This window comes from Homo sapiens, chromosome 7, assembly GCF_000001405.40.
Source record: "Homo sapiens chromosome 7, GRCh38.p14 Primary Assembly".
Classification (NCBI taxonomy): domain Eukaryota; kingdom Metazoa; phylum Chordata; class Mammalia; order Primates; family Hominidae; genus Homo; species Homo sapiens.
The window spans coordinates 18,082,921-18,104,411 of record NC_000007.14 but is presented as its reverse complement, the minus strand read 5'-3'; the positions used below and the strand labels follow the sequence as shown (position 1 = coordinate 18,104,411).

At 39.2% G+C, this 21,491-nt stretch overlaps 1 protein-coding gene across 7 annotated transcripts in view, besides 2 other annotated features; it reads right to left on the bottom strand.

Annotated features, from left to right (window-relative positions):
- Positions 1-17,587, bottom strand: part of HDAC9 (histone deacetylase 9) — a 915,592-nt gene extending 898,005 nt beyond the window's left edge. For all 7 annotated transcript variants that reach the window (NM_001321868.2, NM_001204144.3, NM_001321869.2 and 4 more), the window contains exon 1: positions 17,199-17,587. The gene's annotated coding sequence lies outside the window, so the exon portion shown is untranslated. The remainder of the gene's footprint in view (positions 1-17,198) is intronic.
- Positions 16,550-17,097: an enhancer, noted in NCBI's record as "H3K4me1 hESC enhancer chr7:18126938-18127485 (GRCh37/hg19 assembly coordinates)". NCBI's record gives its function as "activates a minimal SCP1, AML or CMV promoter by ChIP-STARR-seq in naive H9 embryonic stem cells {active_cell/tissue: H9 hESC(naive)}" and the evidence as "EXISTENCE:reporter gene assay evidence [ECO:0000049][PMID:30033119]".
- Positions 17,098-17,646: an enhancer, noted in NCBI's record as "H3K4me1 hESC enhancer chr7:18126389-18126937 (GRCh37/hg19 assembly coordinates)". NCBI's record gives its function as "activates a minimal SCP1, AML or CMV promoter by ChIP-STARR-seq in naive H9 embryonic stem cells {active_cell/tissue: H9 hESC(naive)}" and the evidence as "EXISTENCE:reporter gene assay evidence [ECO:0000049][PMID:30033119]".

The window sequence follows — 21,491 nt, the reverse complement described above, 5'->3', positions numbered from 1 at the left end:
ATATTGTGTTCCTCACCTCAGCTGATAGATATTGAAATAGTCTGGTTTTAAAAAAATGAAGGCCTTTGAAAAAGTTTAGATCTCTATGATGTATGATCACTTGGTCCTTTCAAGCTTATGGTTACAAAAAGAAACCCTTAATGTGTCTTATAAACAAAAAAAAAAATACAATTATGGGAACAATGTACAGCAGGTTCTCAAATAATGTCATTTCATTTGTTTCATTATAAAGTTGATAAAAGAAAAAATGACTTCCTAGCCCGGGCCACTGTGTGCATAGAGTTTGCACATGCTCCCCTTGTCTGCACGGGTTTTCTCTGGGTACTCCGGTTTCCTCCCACATCCCAAAGCTGTGCATGTTAGGTGAATCAGCGTGTCTACACAGTCTCGGTCTGAATGTGGGTGGGTATGAGTGTTCCCTGAGATGGGATGGCATCCTGTCCGGGGCTGGTTCCCAACTGGTGCCCTGAACTGCTGGGATCGGCTCTGGCCACCCAAGACCATGAATTGGTGTAAGTGGGTAAACAATTTTCAGACTTGTTTTTAGGAATCTTTCTTATGTATGTATAGCTCACATTTATTCCGATGTTTTATATTAGAAATATTTCGATCTTTATGTAGAAGTTTGGTGATATTTTTGTGACCAGAAATATGCCATAGGAGCTTAACTCTTGTTTATATCAATTAGCCTGTGGTAACAGTGGTTTCCTTGTACGTCATTTCACTTAAGGTCGCAGATTCCAAGAACCTATCCATAACGATAAGTGAGGACTTACTGCATATAGCTTTGGCTGTACGTGACAGAGACTGAAAATAACAGTGGCTTAGTTAGACAAGACTCCAAGCTGTTATGGCAACTCTGCTTCAAGAAGTCATCATCTATGAACAATAGGCACCGGGGACTCCAAAAGGGAGGAGCCAGAGAGATGGCGCAAAGGGCTGAAAAACCTCCTATTGGGTACTATGTTCACTATTTGAGTGATGGGATCGACAGATGCCCAAACCTCAGCATCACACAATATACCCTTGTAACAAACTTGCATATGTATCCCCCGAATATAAAATAAAATAAAATAATAAAGTAAAAATGTCACTATCACAGTCTGATATGGTTTGGCTGTGTCCCCAACCAAATCTCACCCTGAATTGTAATAATCCCCATGTGTTAAGGATGGAGCCAGGTGGAGATAATTGAATCATGTGGTTGGTTTCCCCCATACTGTTCCCATGGTAGTGAACAAGTCTCATGAGATCTGATGGTTTTATAAATAGGAGTTCCCCTGCACAAGCTCTCTTGCCTGCCACTATGTAAGATGTGCCTTTGCTCCTTTGCCTTCCACCATGATTGTGAGGCCTCCCCCGCAATGTGGAACTGTGAGTCCCTTAAACCTCATTCCTTTATAAATTACCCAGTCTCGGGTATGTCTTTATTAGCAGTGTGAGAACAGATTAATACACTGTCCTAGGCCTTCTTTAAAAATCTTGTTGCTCTGCCATTCTTAAAGTGCTGGCATCCTTAGCAAAGTCTAAGATAGGCAACCATTATTCCCACATTCCAGCAAATGAGAAGGGAAAGGAGACAGCACACCCCGTCCTTTAATGGCCTACTTGGAAGTTGCACATAACCATTCTGTTTATATCCTGTGGTCAGAACTTTGTCACATGGTTTAAAATTCTTAGCTGCAAGGAAGGCTAAGAAATGTCATCTCTATCCTGTAGGGATTTGTCCCCAGCTAAAACTTAGGTGCTTTATGTCTGAGGACAGTGGGGAAAAGAGAGACTAGGAGACAACTAACAGTCTCCCTCACAGAGTAGTATTCGCTTTTTCAAGATTCTATTCTTAAAATTCTATAAATTATTTATATTTTGGTTCAATTTTGCAAGAGAATATAAATCTGGCCTAACCTTTATTCTTAAATATTGGAAACATAGCCATGTAACACTGCCACAATTTTGGCTTCATGGTGCTGATATTTATGACAGTGCTGAAGAAAAAGTTAATTTTAATTTGTTCTTACAAAATTATTTTCCTAAGAATTCTAAAGTAACTCTAGTCTTCTTGCCATGCTTAACAACTAGCTTTCAAAAGACTACATTAAAAACTCAAATTGCAAAATTAAAAAATCATTGACATATTCCTACGACATATGGAACTATACCACCTCAAGGATTCTTTTAAATTATCACAGTCAATTGTGCCCTTACTGCCAGAAAACTCTTGAAGTAACAAGATGTATTCACTATAGCAAGATGTGCTCCTGAATTTTGACACTTTATTCTCATATTAGTTCACAGTAGTATATTTTATCATTCAAATATGAGAGAGGATTAAAAATAAAATAATTCACCAGCACATAGTTCACTATTGCTTGACATATGAACAATCTCAAGGCCTATCCATGAACTACAGAACCTCCTGAATAAATATAAAAGAGGAGCAATCCATAAGTGATCCAATTTAAAATATAGTAATTTATGAGCTGTTTTATGATCATTCACATTTACTAGATTCAAGAGTACATTATTTCAAAGCCACTTGGCTTCTATCCTTAAAAAACATGGTACTTTCCCATAGTGGCATCTTTTATCCACTTAAAAGCATGTAAATTATTATGCTCAACAAATTTAACTCCTTATTTTATGACCAGCTTGCCTTAAGAATGGTTTTGAATGGCTAGGACAGTGATAAAAGCATCAAGCATGATATAGAATATAACTGTGCAAAATGGATTTTTTAAAATATGCTTGTAATATAAAATGTTAATTAAAGAAAATTTGGAAACTGCTGAAAAGAAAGATGTAGAATATCAAAATAAACTACATTAAATTGAGCATTAAATACTTAAGTAGTCGCCAAAATGATATTGACCAACAAGGTTTTACATGGAAGAGAAAAGGAATGGGGGAACCACTTCCAAAGAAGACTGAGTAAGAGGGATTGGAATTATCCCCCTGCCTAAGAAAATAAAAGTTCTGTACAAAATATGAAGCAATAGTTTTCAAGACACTGGACACAATGCAATAATCCTTGACAAACAGAAAACACACGAGGTGAACCCTAAGAAATGGGAAACTGATGACCTGGGCTCTATGACTAGTCCAGCTTCCAGATTGTGGCCCAGGAAAGGAAAACCCAGGCAGAGCCTAGAATAATCCCTGAATTGAGGAGATGAATTGGAGGAACTAAGGAGATCAGAGCAGCTGGATGTCACAGGCCAGAGTACTGGAGGGGGGAAAGCTAAATATGAAGAGATATTCAGAGGTCTACAAATGAGCTCCCCCCTTGAATATTCAGCAGTGTAATGATCAGGACACAGATGTGAGAAAACAACCCAAAGTTAGGAAAAGAACCACCTGAAAGTGTTAATGGGAACAGTACCCAGCACTCACACAAGTCTGGGAATTGTGCCTATTCCTACCAGCCAGACTGGAAAACTTCATAATTCATGGGGTGTTGGGTAGAGTACTCAGAAACTAATCTTAAAAACAAGACCTGAAAGGATCAAGCTGTTTCCCAGTAACTAATTGCATCCCAGAAAAAAAATACTCAAGAAGATTTATAGGAATATAAAAATATCCAGCACCCTACAATTCACGATGTCTGGCATCCATCAAAAATTACTAGGCATGCAAAGATATAGGAAAATATAACCAATAGCAAGGATAAAAAGTCTATCAAACAAAATTGACCAAGAACTAAAAAAGACATTAGAATTTGCAAACAAGGTCATTAAAACAGTTATTATGAATCTATTCCATATGTCCAGAAAGTTAAATAGGGACATGGAAAATTGTGAAACACCCCATTGAACTTCAAGAGATGAAAACTACAATGTGTGAGATGGAGAACACACTAAATATGACTACTTGGTAATGAACTTGAAGACACAGCAATAGAAACTACTCAAAATGTAACATATGGAGAAGAAAAAATAAAAATAAACAAACAGAGCATCAGTGATCCTAATATACATGCAACTGGAGTTCCTGAATAAGAGAAAAAAGAGGAGGGACTCCTAAAAAAATTCTGAAGAAATAATGACTAACTTTTTTTTCAAATTTGATGGAAACTATTAACCCTCAGGCCCAAGAAGCTCAATGAACCCAAAGCACAAGAAACATGAAGAAAGCTATACCAAGATACATTAAAATCAAATTGTTCAAAACCAGGAATAAACAGAATACGTTATAGGACTTGATATCTATAAAGGAGAACAAAAGTAAGAATGACAGCAGGTTTCTTGTAAAAAAAAATGCAAATGATAAAACAGTGAAGTAACATCTTTAAACTATTAAAAGAAAAAAACTGACCTAGAATTCTATATCCAACAAAAATAAGGTGAAATAAGACATTTTCAGAAATACAAAAGCAAGCTGATAGGATTCATCACCAGCAGATCTGTGCCACAAGGAATGTTTAAAGGAAGTCAGGCAGAAGGAAGAGGATATCAGAGGAAAATCTGGATATAGACAAAGGAATAAAGAGCACTGAAATGGTAACTACTCGAGTAAATACAAAAGATTTCTGTTTTACATAAATATCTTTAAATAATTACTGTTTTAATAAAATACGAATGTAGTAAGGGCTTTATAACATATGTAAGAAAAATAGAATAGGGTATAAAATATATTTTAATGAGTTTCCAGTAGTTACCTGAAAATTAGAACACACAACAATATTTCAGATCTGCTATTCTAGAGAAATTAAAACTGTAGCCGTTATTCTGAAATACTATTCCATTTGGCCTACACTTTCCCACTTGGCTTGAGTAGTCTTAGCATTATACTTTTGAAAATATAAGTTAAGGTGAATATATGATGTTTGTTCTCACAGAGAAAAGCAGTAAGTAACTCCAAAAGGGTGTTCTGGTTAGTAAACAAGTTATCTCATAAGTTTAAGCAAAGGCCTTTGATGAACTTTATTTTTTTTTTCTTTATTTTTTTGAGACAGAGTCTCACTCTGTCGCCCAGGCTGGAGTGCAGTGATGCAATCTCAGTTCACTGCAACCTCCACCTCCAGGGTCCAAACGATTCTCCTGCCTCAGCCTCCCAAGTAGCTGGGATTACAGGTGCCCACCACCGCACCCAGCTAATTTTTTCTTTTTTGTATTTTTAGTAGAAACAGGATTTCACCATGTTGGCCAGGTTGGTGTCGAACTCTCAACCTCAGGTGACACACCTGCCTCGGCCTCCCAAAGTGCTGGGATTACAGGCGTGAGCCAACACACCCAGATGAACTTTATAAATAAAAGCAAACTACTGTTTCATTATAATACTAAATTTATTTAATATTTATTTTAATGTAGGTAACTTTTAAAAATTGGGTCAAATAGATAAATAGGAGATTTTAAAATATATCTACAGCACAAGTCACAAAGGAAAGTTCCCTTCCTCATTTCCCCAACCTGTCAAGAATGAACATAATGTATCATTTACATCATTAGGGCTTTTTAGGAGAATGTTTATGGGGAAAAATTGGGAAAGAAGATAACAAAGCAGTACTAGCTTCTCACCATAGAGAGGCATATGAAAGCAATAAGAAGATAAAAGCTCAACCGGGGATTCACAAGTTCAAAATTCTATATATTGCTACTGAATTTGTCTCCCATTGTGTGAAATCTATTCAAGAGCACATCTACAAGTCCACTCAATGAGCAGCTGTGTGCTGGACTGAAAGTAGAAATAGAAGGAATAAAGAGGAGATGCATCTTTGGGGTAATGAGGGAAAGGTAGGTTCCAAGATGAAAATCTAGTATAGACAAAACTGCCTTGAAAAGAGGTTAACTCATCCATAAAGTATAGTTAACAATCTTTTGTGTGTATCGCCCTGAACAGAAATGCTGATGCACACTCAAGTTTGGGAACTACTAAGCTAGACTAAAAAAATGAACAAAAGGCAAGCTTCCATGCTGAAGTCTGTGCATTCAAATTCTGCCACATAAGACAACAATTAAATCTCTAGCAGTAAACAGAAAATGAGTGGAAAATTCTAAAGTATTTCTGCTAGTCAGCAGAGCTGATTTCAACTTATTTGCATAGATAGCCTCTATAACCATTACATACTACTAGATTCAATACTGTTATAAGAATTAAAGGAGAATTGAATATACCCAATACTGAGGTTCAATATATGTACAATAACTTAGAAGTCTTGCTCCAGCAGAACTACAAATTGCATAAAGATCTCAGCCATTTGCAGGAAGCAATTCCTGTCTTTCTAAATGACAGTCCTGTAGTATCGATTTCACGGATTTGGCAACAGCAGTGAAACTTGTCATGATGGGATTACATCTTATGTAAGGACTGAGTTGTAATGTTTAAATGCATATGGTGCTAGTTCATTCTTCTGGACCAGAAAGGGTAAAAGGGCAAGATAAGCAAAGAAAACAATTGGAGAAAAAGAATATTCAGACATTTTTCAGATTATAATAAATTTGAAATGTGTTTAGACTATCAGTAGACGTTAGTACACAACATCAAATATGGGCTGGCAAAGCATAAACACCAGAAATGAAAATGATGATGGTGGTATTAACAATGATAATATAGGCTGGGTGCAGTGGTCCACTCCTATAATCTCAGTTACTCCAGAGGATCACTTGAGGCCAGAAGTTCAAGACCAGCCTGGTCAACAAAGCAAGATTCCATCTCTAAAAAAGAAAAAATCTAATAAAAAATTAGCCAGGTGTGGTGGTATATGCCTGTAGTCCCAGCTCCTTGGGAAGCTGAGGCAGGAGGATCAGCTGAGCCCAGGAGTTCAAGGCTGCAGTGAGCTATGATCACACTGCTGCATTATAGCCTGTGTGACAGAGCAAGACCTTGTCTCTAAAAATGATAATAATGATATAGATAATCCAAGTTTAAATGGTTTATTAGGGGAAAAAAGGACTAAAACAGAAAGACAAGCAAACGCAAGATAACCTGGGTCATTAAAAAAAAAAAAAAAGGTAAAAGTGTACATAAAACTTATTTGGTAAAGCGGTGTCAGGCCTCTAGCCTAATAAGGAAATGATGAAATACCAAAATAGATGGTGGGGCAAGTGAACAGATGACATCCAATGTTGCTGGTCATTTAGGAAAGAATGAAGTCAACTTGGTGGACTATATTGCCCTATTTTTAAAGTGATAAACTCACTTCATCCATCCAATACAACAAAATCAAATAACAACATCCAATTATAACCAAAAAATATAATAATGTTAGATATGAGAGCAAATAAGTTTGAGAAAGTACATTTTATCATTTGGGTCTGTGCTGCCCACTAGCCATGTGTGACTATGCACTCATTAAAACTAAATAAAACTCAATTCAGGCCATTGGCCACATTTGCTAAATTTCAAAGACCACATGTGCCTAGTGGCTATGATGTTGCAGAGCATAGACATAGAATATTTCCATCATCACAGAAAATCTTACTGGACAGCACTAATCTATACAACTGTTAGAAGTGCCCTGTACATAAGAGATTAGATCTAAAAGAGTACGAATACACACACACACACACACACACACACACACACACACACAAAGCCAACAAGTCATCCATTCTTTCATTCAGAACATTTATTAGGCACTTCTCATGTGAGAGTTGCTGTGCTACGCATTCAGAGACCACAGATTAAAACAAAATAGTCCCTGCCTTTGAGTCACAGAGCAATAGGAAATAACAATATATTAATAATCGGTCAATCAGCAAACACTTTTTGGTCACCAACTATAACAAATGCACACAGTGCTATGGAAGAAAACAAAACAGTAAGCATATAGTCTCACCTCAAGGAGCTTACAATTTCATTAATGACACACAACATAAGGCAAGATGTAAAATGTTTTAAGTGGCCAATTAACATTTGCAACTGTGTATTTCAAACTGAGGTCCATGAGCTTGATGTGAAATATTTTTTTTTCCATTTTGGGATTTCATTGGGATGATCATCTAAATATACATGTTGTATGCTAATCAGTTTCTGAATAAACGTTTAAAAACTAAATACTGCCACCAAATTTTCATCATGTTGTTTGCACTTGGTGTTTTGAATCATGCATAAACTAAGTGGAGACCAAAGAATAGAAAGGTTGCTAAACAAATAAAGTCTGTTTAGAGAAAAGGTGAGGATGAAGTGAGTCATTACAGAACACTGGGTAGCACAGGCAGGCAAAAGTACCTGTACTATAGAGGTTATAATCATCATGAGTGTGAAGATAATGCATGCATCCTATCTCTGTGTAGCTTCTACATAATCTGTTCTCCATTCCAGAAATCTTGGAATACAGCTTACAGATTTGATTTAGAATTCGATGACTCCACAATACTAATCACATTTTCAAGGGAACGAAAAGATGTTATAGAGATCTCAGGTGATACCTCATTAAACCTGACATTTGAGGGATTATTTGAGGAATTTTGATCATGTGTAAAGCCTGATTATCCTGAGCCATACACAAAGCCTCAAAGTTAACATTGTTTGTTTGGTTGTAAAAGGACAATTTTTGTATCTATATTGATATAAAACATAGAAATAGATTAAAGAAAAACAGAATCTGAGACTGCATCTTTATACTTTTAAACTGGATACTGGCAATGTAATTTCAACAATACAGCATCATTTGTCACAGAGTTCAATGTTGTTTCTTTTAATTTCATCAATTCTGTTGTTTATATTCAACATTTGTTTGTTGGGTTTGGTTTTATAATTTATGAAATCTATAAGCAAAAGCATTCATATTTATGTTCCTATATACCTAAGTAGAATGTTTAATAAAAAATAAACACACTCATACTGTACAGACCTGTAGTCTTAGTCAAAACCGGCCCATTCTTCCTGTGGTGTTTTATTTGGAGAAGGTACCCATTAGGAAGCCAAACCTTCTCTGCCCTCTTTTCCATCTAAGTGGTGGGAGACTATGAATCTCTAGCGAGCCACAGGGTAATTGCAAGAAGACCATAAATACACATGTAAATCCTCCTGTATATTAAATATACTACTATATTTCAAAAATATAAGGATGCTGTTTGGGGTAATAAAAATGCAAATTCCTTTTAAAGACTTTCCTAATACAGTAGCCTTTTTATTATGGATTTTCTCAATTAATACTAGAATTCCATTTGTAAGCCTGCGAAAACATAGCCATAACCCTAAACTACAGTAGGAATTCAGAGAGGAATGAGATCTCAGTGTGTTGTAGTAATCAGGGGAAGCATCACAGAAGAGGTGGGACATACACTGGGCCCAGTGAAAAAGTAGGGCAGAGAAGCACAGCTTCCTAATCCCCCAACAGAACCCCAGCAGAATGAAAGTCTGATTTTCGCTACGAGATGATCACTTATAGAAACCTATGCTACACGGTTCTCTTTCCATTGCAAGAGGCAGAAACTCAATTTATGGATAATTCATTGCTCACATAACATATCCGTGGAAAAAATCAGCTATAGAACGAGACTTAAGAATGACTGGATGCAGGAAGTGAAAAACTGAAATGTACTTATTTCTCTCTCTCTCATCTTGACTTTTCTTTACACGTCGATGTATTCTCTCAGGCTGGCTATTCCTGTTTATCTAAAATCGAAGCCACTTGCTAGCTCCAAGTTTAGGATTGAAATCCTTAATGATTTACTGGATGAAAGGCAGGGAGTTGCAACAGTTAAAAATGTAAGGGCCTGGCACGGTGGCTCACATTTGTAATCCTAGTGCTTTGGGAGGCCTAAGCAGGAGGATAGCTTGAGGCCAGGAGTACAAGACCACTCTGGGCAATACAGCAAGACCCCTTCCACAAAAAATGTTTAAAAATAAACAATAAATAATTTTTTTTAATTAGCCAGGTACGCTGGCATGAGCCTGTGAGTCCTAGCTACTTGGGAGGCTGACACAGAAGGATCACTTGAGCCTAGGAGCTCAAGGTTATACTGAGCTGTGATCACACCAGCCTTGGGAGTAGAGCAAGACCCTGCACCTAAAAAAAAAAAAAAAAAAGTAAAGGTAACAAAGATAGGCTGGGTCCAGGCTGTGAAAGAACTTGTGTCATGCTAAGAAGTTTGGGCTTTTAAAGTCAAATCTGGCCTAATCTAGTTTAGGAAATCTAAAACCTATATGAAGAAATTAAGTTTATTTAGAGACTTCCTGAGCTACAGTGTGCTCTAGAATAGATTAGTACTGTTGACCCCAGTCAAGCTGGGGCTGGCTCACAATTTCCTTCTTTGAGAACAGTAGTATTCTAGAAGGGTGGACACCTGAACCCAGATGGAGCAATAATAAAACTCCCTTTGCCTGGCCACAGTGGAGTAGTCCATAGGTGTGCACCTGATCTAACACAATCCAATCATACTCTTCCTTGAGGTATTCAGTTTTAAATGTTTACATTTAGGCTCAGATACCCAGGGAAATCTTAAAGGCTTCCTCATACTGTGCTGGGATGTAGAGTAAAACTCAGTAAAATTAACAGAAAATAGATAAGACTTCCTGGGTACAGTGGAGCAGCAAGGGGATCTGGGCCAATGATTCTGATCAATGGAACTAGATCCATTTAAAGAAGATATTTAAGTACATAAAACAGAAGAAAAAAGTAGAATATCTATGAATAGATTTCAGAGGCACCACAGAGTAGAAAGAGGGACTGAGTAATAGAAGAACAAAGGAAGAATGTCTCAATAGACTTTTCAAGATCAAAACAGTGGCATCTACTGAAAAAGCTATAGAAAGAACCCTATGGCCAAAGAGGCAATGAGAATTCATAATGTTACCTGATTTAATTTAATAGTAGAAATCTACATATAGGAAAGAAAGGAGACACAGTGCTTTTGATTTTAACCAAAATGATAAGTAGAAATAAAAATGCACAGCCTCTACTCCCCATTCTTACTTTTAGATCTAAGAGAGACCTATAATATGTACTTCCTGCTGAGAAAATAAAAGAAGGCATGATACAGCACACTCTCTCACTCCTCTCTTTAACCCTCATCTTGCAGTATCCAGTTCTCTCAAGCTGAATGATGGAACCCAACAGCAATTGTAGCACTGACATCCACTTCAATGTGAGTAACAGGCTTTCCCCCTGGAAACTTCACTTACTGCTTGTGAGTATGGGATGTGTACTACAAGACTTCAGGCTCTGGAATCAGACCTGGATTCAAATCCTAATGCCACCCCTAGCTGAACGACCCTTGGCAAAGTATTTAGCCTTTCAAAGTCTCCACACACCTGCCAGGGGAGAAGGGAGGCAGAACTAGGGAAATATAAACTAAACTGCCAGAGTTTGAGATACAAAATAGATAAAATGTGTCTGGCAAAGTGCTTAGAGCACAGGGTGTGTTCAATAGTCCCCAACCCACTACATAGCACCCTATAGTCACTGGGCCACAAATATAGTACAATGGTCCTTAGCTCTACTCCTTTCTATAAAATGAGGGTAGACCACACTGCAGGCCTCCAAGTCACAGCGCTGGTTCCCTGCAAGGATTAGTGGAATCAGTCCCTTAAAAGTCTTTCATGCGTGGAATATATTTAGGGACTAATTAAGTCAATACCCAGACTAATGTATGTGTAGTGATTCATCTTTCAAAGGTTTTCTACTCCTTTCTTATCACTACCACTCATAAATGGACCCTCATTACCATTATTCTCCTAAATCCTGGAAGAGTTTTCTCTTCCAAGAAGTCATCATGACTTCAGTCACTTTCCAATTCAATCCCATCCCTAGAAGGCTATCATGCCTATCCTGGCCAAAAACTCAAACATTTCATTAAGCAATCATTTTTTCTTCTTTCCCTCAGCAGTGGACACCTGTCATTCTTTTTGGCAATGGACAATGGGACCCCATTATTATATGTGGAGAATCCTCTCTTTTATGATATAGAGCCCACATTCAACTGTAGAAGCTATATGCCAGCAGCGACAGCAGCAGTACCTCACAGGACAAATTCTGCAGAGGGATTTGGAGCCTTGTTTCTACTTGAGTGGCTTCAAAGTCAGGTCTGCTGACTTTACCAGAGGTTCTTTTTTTTAAAAAAAAAAAAAGAAAGAAAGAAAAATAGGGTCTTACTGTGTTGCCCAGGCTGGAGCATGGTGGCACGATCATGGCTTACTGTAGCCTCAAATTCCCAGACTCAGGTGATCCTCCCACCTCAGCCTGCCAACTAGCTGGGACTTCAGGCACACACCATCACGTTCAGGTAATTTTTTCTGCATTTTTTTGTAGCAACAGGGTCGCGCCATGTTGCCCAGGCTGATCTTGAACTCCTGGACTCAAGCAGTTCATCTGCCTTGGCCTGCCAAAGTGCTGGGATTACCGGCATAAGCCACTGTGCCCACCCTACACCAGAGATTCTATGAGCTAGTCAATGTGGTGGACATACCCTAAGCTGACCTCCAAGGAGTCATGCCCTTGTATAGCCTGATGTCACTCTCTCACTATTATATTATAGTATATAAGACTCTTTCTTATCAGACTGGAGCAAGAGAGACTTCCTTGCTAGCTTTAAAAAAGTAAGATGCCATGTTGTAACAGTACCTATGAGAGGGCCACATGGCAAAGAATAACAGCAGCCTCTAAGAGTTAAGGGCAGCCTCTGAATGACAGCCAGCAAGAAAATGGAGGCCTCAGTCCTACAGCCACTATGAGATAAATTCTGCCAATAATAGAAAAGAGCTTGAAAGTGGATCTTTTCCTATTGATCTTCTGTTGGGATTGCAGCCCTAGCCAACATGGGAGAAGATCTCTGGCCAGAGGACCTAGTTGAGCTATGTGTGGACTTCTGAGCAATGAAACTGATATGATAAAGGGGTGTTGTGTTAAGCTGCTAAATTTGTGGAAATGTGTTACACAGCAAGAGAAAACAAAGTCAATATCCTCTAATAAATTTATTTGATGCTTATATTAACTAAGTTAGTTTCCATGACTTGCTACTGAATACCTTGAGTGACACACAGACTATCCAAATCTTACCCTTTCAGTGGTCACTTCAAATTCCAGTCATCACTACTGTACTAGAACTAAACCAGTCCACACCCATCTCCTTCTTATCACAGCTTCTGTAGAGATGTGAAGAAAGTACCATTTCCAGCAACCTCAATGCTCCTCAAGCTCACCAGAAACACGTTATACTCTCTCTGGTGCAGCAAACAATAGATAGTAGTTTTCCTCTCTTTGAAGCTCTAAACAAAATTCACCATAGTAAACAGGAAACCACATCTGAACTTTTTTTCAGTACTTGATACTTAATGATTTGGATGAGCTCCTATAAACCATTTGTAATTTAGGGAATGGAAGAGTAAGAATATACATATTAGCTTAATGGAGAGCTCTTGGTACTGTCTGCTTATTCAAAAATACTTGCATAAGATTACATATTACCATTATCTACAGAATTACAATGCTTCCTTCTGCAAGCTGGATAATATATTCCACTGTTAAGTGTAATAATGCAATATCAGAAGTCTATCACTTTAGTGTTACAAATCATGTGGGCAATTATCCTAAAAAAATTCTAGTGGGATTTGAAGGAGAGGAGATTTGGTGAGATGAAGAAAAAGAACAAGTTTCTGTCCTTTTCTTTTTTTTAAAAAAAGTCTGATTTATTCAGATATGAGATCTACATGGAAAGAAATGACTAGATAATTCCATAAACCTTCTGTTCACTTTGATACCTGTAAGTTCGGCCAAAGAAGCAGAGCTGATGAGAGAAATAGACATCCCGACACCCAGAATATGATCTCTGACCACTACTGGCTGCCTCTGGAGTGAACACTCCATTACTGTCCCCCGTCAATACTCTCTCTTCCCAAAAATCAGGTTCTGACTTTTCTTGCCAGTGAGGCTGATGATCCTCAAGCTTGACAACTGTGCTGATAAACTTTAAGAACTGCTTTGATCAGTAAAAGGGCAGTAGGTAGTTGATAGGGTGAGGCCAGCAGGGCAGAGAAATATGTGGACTATGGATTGATTGCAAGAACAAATATTCTGCAGAGGTGTGTGTGCTTCTTTGTTTATTTCAGCAGTAGCTATTAGAGTCATGGTTCTCTCCCATCAACAGGCCAACAGTATGATCCATCCCCTTATGACTATATTGACTGATTTAAAATCTGATCTGCACATGTATAAAGATGACCACTTTAAAAATCTAGAAATACATAAATTTATGAAGTTATCATAAGACACAGGAGCAGCTTGCTCTCATAATTAAAATACAGGAAATATAGATGTTAAGCTCAGCTTCACACTGATTCACTATGGTGTAACGTTGGGTATATCAGTGTACCTGCCGCCTCCTTCCTAAAATGAGAACAATATGTCACCCTACTTATCTCTCAAATGTTTTGAGGAATCACCAAAAAGTGTAAGAATTATAATAACAAACTGGGAAACAATTGTATATATCTGCAGATGCATGCAATAAAAATTAAGTATGATGTCTATTGAAAGCAAAAGGCTTCAAGCAGTAAGAGCCCCCACCAACTTAAACAGTAATACAAATTGTATTTTAAAACAAACAAAAAAAAACCAATGAAGCAAAAATAAAAAGCCACATTTGGATGTAATAACAAAAAATGTCCATAACTACAATATTTCACTAATGAGAAGGTACAGATGCTACATACAGAAGGATTTTATGATGTCCATATGTTTCTCAAATGACTCTCCTTGTTAGCTATTTCTCCACATCTCTATTTAAGAATAACCTGCACCTTCCCCACTGAGTGTGTACAAATTATAATGTAATATGTTGTAATATTTAAACAAATTCAAAAAAGAAGTAATTCTAATAAAAAGAAAGGAAAGCTACATAAACCTAGATGTAGATATTAATAAAAATCTGAATTCTGGTGTCATTCAAATTAGTTAATTAAATAGGTTTATATCTGGTCAGCTGGCCTTAAGATTCAAAACTCCTAAACCTCAAATAGAATTCATCTATATCTTAAATATATAATTATTTATATATAGTGGCAATAACTTCATAAAACAACTCTTTCTACCATAATAACGGTTATGCTTAATTTGGTCACCAAACAATCACAAAAATCTATAAGCATGTATAAAATTACCTTTTAATTGCAAAAGAGCCATCATTATTTCTACAAAAGACAGCACTTTAATGTGCTAAACACTCTCTAGTCAGAGTGCTGGTCTGACTCTCCAATAAAGGCCAGCCCAACAGGCTGAACTGCAGAAAGAAAGAAACAGGAAGATCAAGGTTAAAAAAAAAAATCTGTCTCCTACCCATAAACTGGTATTTAATTTAAAACTCCTTAACTTCCTTCTGCACAACCTTATGTGCATCTAACCGTGTCCATTTTGTAGTAAAGATTATCAATTCACTAGCACAGCTAAGAAAGCATCTCTCTCCCTCTGGCTGGCAGTTTATCAAAGGTCAGACAGGATTGCCACCTTACATGCATCTGTTTAATAGCTAAAACATATATGAAAACACTAGCTTTTTCCCACACAGAAAATGGCATATTCTAAGAAAATGCTGCTCTTCTTCAAATGTGCCCCATTCAAACAAAATGGATGAGAATAAATTACAAGCAAGTTTTACAACTGACTAAATTATGTTGTTTTGGAAATATAATATTCTTATTAGCCATTTTAAACATAAATGGTTTCCAGAAGGAACATCAGTAATTTGATGTTTGGGGAATTAAATTGGTCCAAACTGGAACAGTGGTTTAAAAGGATAAGGAAGACTAATTATCTGTGGTAAAAGGCAAATATATTAAACAACAAATTTTCAGTCACAATAATTTCCATAATAAAAATCAAAAGTACGAAAAAGAAGGTCAAAAGATATCTTTTAAACATGATTGCTGATTTCTTAAATGCAACTTATTCTGTGCTGTTTTTAATTACAGGATTAGAAAGATTTCTGGGGCATCAGAAAACATCCAGGCCTTTTCAAATGTCATAAGGTTTTCTTTTGGGAGATTTTCAATGTTTTTTTCCTTTAATATGGGTTTTCTATGTACGTACTCCCTTTTTCCAGATTTCGACAGTGCCTGCAAGATTTGAAAACATGACAGTGCTCTGAATACTTGTAATTCCTAAATCTTACTCCTTATGAGAAATCTCAGCACAGCAAGAGTATTTAGTTGTATATGCATTGTTATACCATTTGGGGAGAAAAAAATTAACTCTTCGCTTTCTTTTCTGGTAGAAGTTAAACTTTTTAAGCCTTTCTTACCCCTTTCCCATATTTTACACACACACATACACACCCCACATACATGAAATAATGAATATATGTAGATATCTCATTTCTTATAGGATTTCAAAATGCTACAGTTACTTAAAGCTGAAAGTTCCTTTTAGGAGATTACACACACCTCCCTGGAAGAAAAAACAATTGACAGATCTTCCTGAAATTGGAGCACAGGAGACTCACTAGAGAATTCTCCAAGTCCACATCACAGGAACTGCATCCTCAGCTCTCCGTTGCAGGCCACCTCTCCTGACAACCGCGCCTCGGATCTGGAGAGAGCTCAGTCCCGCTCTGTCACATCACAGACACACAGGCCTGACACCAGCACCTCTCATTGCGGACAAGGGGATAACGGCTTCAAAGCCAAACAAACGCAGCCTGCTAGGCGCTCAGGGAACGCCCCCGTCCTCCGTTCCCTCTAGTCCCCACTGTGACACCCTCGTATGGCATCTAATTAACCAGTTTACCTTAATAAGCTTACGATTCATCACTCTCCTTCCACTAGTCAAGGAACTGCTTTATCTCCCATCCCATCCCCCAGCCTCCTGAACTTTTCTTAAAACCCAGGATTCTGATGTATTGACTTAAAACTGAAGTCCTCCACGAAACATCAAAGGTACCCCCCAATAAGCGTTGCTCCCCTCAAGCAACACGTTGCCAGTACAAACTTTTCATTCATAGCTCGGCTCCAACATAAACTGGGTGTGTTTGGGGGCGGGAGAGAATCACGCCACCGACCGCTCGCCTCAGTTTGCCTAGCCAAATGTCAGGGTCTGCATGCCACAAAGATGACCTAGCACCCAACTTCTGACGAAGGTTCCCTTAAACCCACCGGTCTCCGGGCTGCGAGATGCAAGGCAAGTGGCATCAGAGTCCGGACTGAGATGCTGTTAACCTGCGGAACCCGAGAAGGGAATACCGCGGCGCATCCTGAGGACCGGTGGCCCCCAATTCCCAGGGCTTTCCTCAAGCACCAGCCGGGGACTCTGCCGTGGTGCCACTCACCTCCGCCCGCTCCTGCTGAGGCTATCGCGCCCTCCTTCGCTCCGCGCTGGCGACCTCTTAACTTCTCCCCCTTCTCCAAACAGCCATCTTTCGAGGAGGAGAAGAGAATGGTGAGGCAGAAGCAAAAAGGGAATGAAAGTTGACTCGGGGGCCGCCGCTGCTCCTCCAGCCGAGATTTACCGGCCGCGGCGGGCGCTAGAGGAGGAGACCGCGGCGAAAGCGGCGAGAGCGGCGGGCGCGGCGCGGCCGGCTCGGTGCGCGCTGCGCGATGTGCGGGACGCGCCGCCGCCGCCGCCGCCGCCGCCGCCGCGCGGGGGGGGCTCGGGAGGGCGGCAGCGGGCGGCTGCGAGCTGCGAGCTGAGCGGGCGGCGGCGCGCGGAGAATTTGCTAAAAATAGCACTTCTTGGGGAGGGAAGTAGGGGACGGAGGTGGGAGGAGAGGCTCGGCCGGGAGCCCCAGCGCCGCGGAGGCTGGGCGGGGCTGGGTGGGGATAGGAGGAAGGACCCGCGGCGAGAGCGCGGGCCCAGGCGCTGGAGACCCGCAGGGCGGGCCGGGAGGCGCGGGCCGGAGGGGATTACGGACGCGGGAACACCTGGGCGCGCGGCCGACGCGCTGGGAAGGACGCGCGGGAGGCGGGAGGGCAGCGAGGACATCCCGGGGTGGAGCGGAAAAGGGCTCTGGGCTGCACCAGCGTTTTTTTTCCCCCCCAGGGGAAGGACCAGGGAACCTAAGACGACTTGGGATTTCTGAAGCGAGACATGCCCACGCGAGGCGCGGGGTGATGGTCAGGCGGCGGCCGTGACAGAGAACGGTGCTGGGGAGAAGCCAGGCCGCTGCCTCGCCCTCTCGCGCCCCCCGTGGCTCGGGGAGCCCCGGCCGCTCAGGTGCGCGCCACGCAGCGCCAGCCCGCCCCAGCTGAACGACTTCTTTTAAAGAGGAGGTAGCATTGTGGGGCGGTACCTGGAACGTCCCCACAGATGCGTGGAGCTTGAAGAATCATTCAAGGGAATTTTAAGAGAAAAAAATGCTACATTTGGGGTTTGTCAAATGGGAAACGTGAGGGAATATGGTGACTGCTGTTGGAAACATGACTTAGGTATGCCGCGTTTTAAGGCTGAACAGAGAGGACCATTCGCTCTGAAACCAACCCTGAAAGAAGGCAAGCAGAGTTAGAAGGGCCGAGAATTAACGAGGTGATCTCCTTCAGTGGTTAGTATTCTTACCTTGGGGATTTTTTTTCTGCTATAAATGAAGTCTATACTAGCATCACTAGTAGCTGTAGATTCCTTTATGAAGTGTACAACAATAAAATATTTTTTTAAGTGTAATCCTAAACATACTTGGCTAAAGCTAACAGTTGATCACTCAAAGAGGCTAATATTTATGGTGTATGTAATTTGACCATCAAACGAATTAAAGCTGGTGTCTCTGCTTTCATATTTATGGTTTTCCTCTACGTCAGCTAAAACACAGCTAAGCTTATAGATTAATTATATGGATGGAAAGATCAAGAAAGACCTAACCCAGTACCCTCATTTTTAGAGGAGAGAACTCGGATCCATGGGAGTAGTGTGATTTGCCCAAGGTCTCACAGTGGCAGAGTTAAGATTAAAATTTAGGATTAGGGCCTAGGCCCGGTAGCTCAAGCCTATAACCCCAGTACTTTGGGAAGCCGAGGCTGGAGGATTGCTTGAGCCCAGGAATTCGAGACCACGCTGGGCAACAAAGTGAAACCCCCATTTCAAACAAACAAACAAAAACCTCAGGAATAAAGCCAGACTACCAATTTCATAACAGCAAGATAACTCGAGAAAAGGAGTGGTATGGTAGCTGTACTTTTAAAATAGTTCAGCATTCTTAGGAGGATAAAAGTGTATGATGGCTAGATTTATCCCTCACTTTGCTCTAATCAGGAATTCACGCTGCAGGAGTGGTCAGCTAGCTTTAAATAAAAATTTAAAAATAAAAAATAATAAAGATACTCCAAAGGCTGTTGGTGCTAGAGCTTCTGCTTAACTTTCTATCCACACTGAGGATTCTGTTCGTTAGCATGACGAATCGTAGTAATGGGTTCTCATTTCATGGATGAAATTGATGATATTGACTCAAGTAGAGATATTTCTGATTTGTATATATGCCAGATATAACTATCTAGTGACCTTTCACCCTTTACCTTTCAAAATGGAGTTAAGAAATGGTCAAGTGTCCAGCCTTTAAGTTTTTGGAGGGTTTTTTTTGTTTGTTTGTTTTGGTTTTGGTTTTTGTGGGGGTTTTTTGTTTTGTTTTGTTTTGTTTTGTATTTTGAGACAGGGTCTTGTTCTGTCACCCAGGCTGGAGTGCAGCTGTACCATCAGGGCTCACTCTAGCCTTGACCGGGGCACAAGTGATCCTCTAGCCTCCCAAGTAGTATCTGGGACTAACTTTTTTAGAGACGAGGCCTTACTTTAGTGTCTAGGCTGATTTTTTTTTTTTTTTTTTTTTAATGATTCTGTTTGCCTACCATTGACTTTAAGGGGAAAATTCTCCCTCTATTGTCTCTCAAGAAACCTTTCATGTAAAGTATGGCTGAAGCACATAAAAGGAAATGCCCCTGGGATTTCACTGGGTATCTAAAACAGATTTTGTGTAATAAAGATGTATATGGCAAAATTTGAATTGAAACTTATTTTCACCTTTTAGGGTGGTGATACCAGGCATAGTTAACCTTCACTTAAGTCTAATTATTTAAGTATCCCATGTCCAGGTCATTTCACAAATGGGAGCAGTCTTCCTCATCATTCTGCTAGACATTTGAATGCTGACTTTGAGTAAGATACATGCTGCGTGCTACTAGAGACTCAAATTTTTAAATTACGATTTAGTTGAAAAGATAATTTATCTTAAAAGTTTTGGTTGGGTTGGCATGTTCTCTGTTCAAACCTATATTATTGCATATATGACACTATATTATAATTTTTTCCTGGTTTTAGTCTCTTGTCAACTGAGCTCTAAGAGGACAAAGATAACTCATTCACATTTTTTGTAGTTTTTTAATAGACTATTTTTCAAAACAGTTTTAGATTTACAGAGAAATTCAGAAGATAGTACAGTGAGCCTTGAACAACACAGGGGTTAGGAGAGCAGACCCCCTGCAAAGTTGAAAATCCACATATAACTTTTGACTCTTTAAAAACTACTAATAGCCTACTGCTGACCAGAAGCCTTCCCAAAACATCAACAATTAACACACATTTTGTATGCTATATGTATTATATACTGTGTTCAAACAATAGTCTAGAGAAAAGAAAATTTTATTATGAAAATCATAAGGAAAATATATTTATTATTCATTAAGTAGAAGTAAATCATCATAAATGTCTTCATCCTCTTCATCTTCACGCTGAATAAGCTGAAGAGGAAGAGGAAACGTTTGTCTTGTGTCTCAAGGGTGGTTGAGGTGAAAGAAAATGTGCATGTAAGTGTATCCATGTAGTTCAATCCTGTGTTATTCAATGGCCAACTGTATAGAGAACAATATACATGCATACACACATACACACATACACACACACACACACACACACAATTTCTCCTGCTATTCTCATCTTTCTTTAGTATGATACATTTTCTACAATTAGTGAACTGGTATTGGTACATTATTAACTGAGGTCCGTAGTTTATCAGATTTCTTTTTGTTAGCTTTTACTAATGTGCTCTTTCTGTTTAAGGATCCCATCTAGGAGACCACAATATATTTAGTGATCATGTCTTTTTAGGCTTCTGGCTGTGGCACTTCCTCAGACTTTCTTTGTTTTTTATGACCATGACAGTTTTGAGGAATCCCAGTCAGATATTTTGTAGGATGCCCCTCTGTAGTAATTTGTCTGATATTTTTCTCATGGTAAAAATAAAGTGATGGATTTTGGAAAAGAAGATTATAAAGTTCTATTTTCATTACATTATATCAAGGGTATATACTAGGCAACATGGTTTGTCCCTGTTGATGACGATCTTAATCGCCTGGCTGAGGTAATGTTTGTCAGGTTTCTCCACTGTAAATTTACTCTTTTTCCTCCCCTTTACATACTGTATTCTCTGAGAGGAAGTCATTATGCGCAGCCCACACTTACGGAGCAAAGATATGACCTCTTCTTTTAGGGCAGAGTATCTACATAATTTATTTGGAAGTGTTAGTCATTCACTTTTTATTTCCAAAGATCAGCACAGAGCCCTCAACATAGTAGGTTCTTACTACATGTGACGTGCAAGAATAGGATTAAACGGAATTTTTCCCCTCAAGAAAGTTTATAGGAT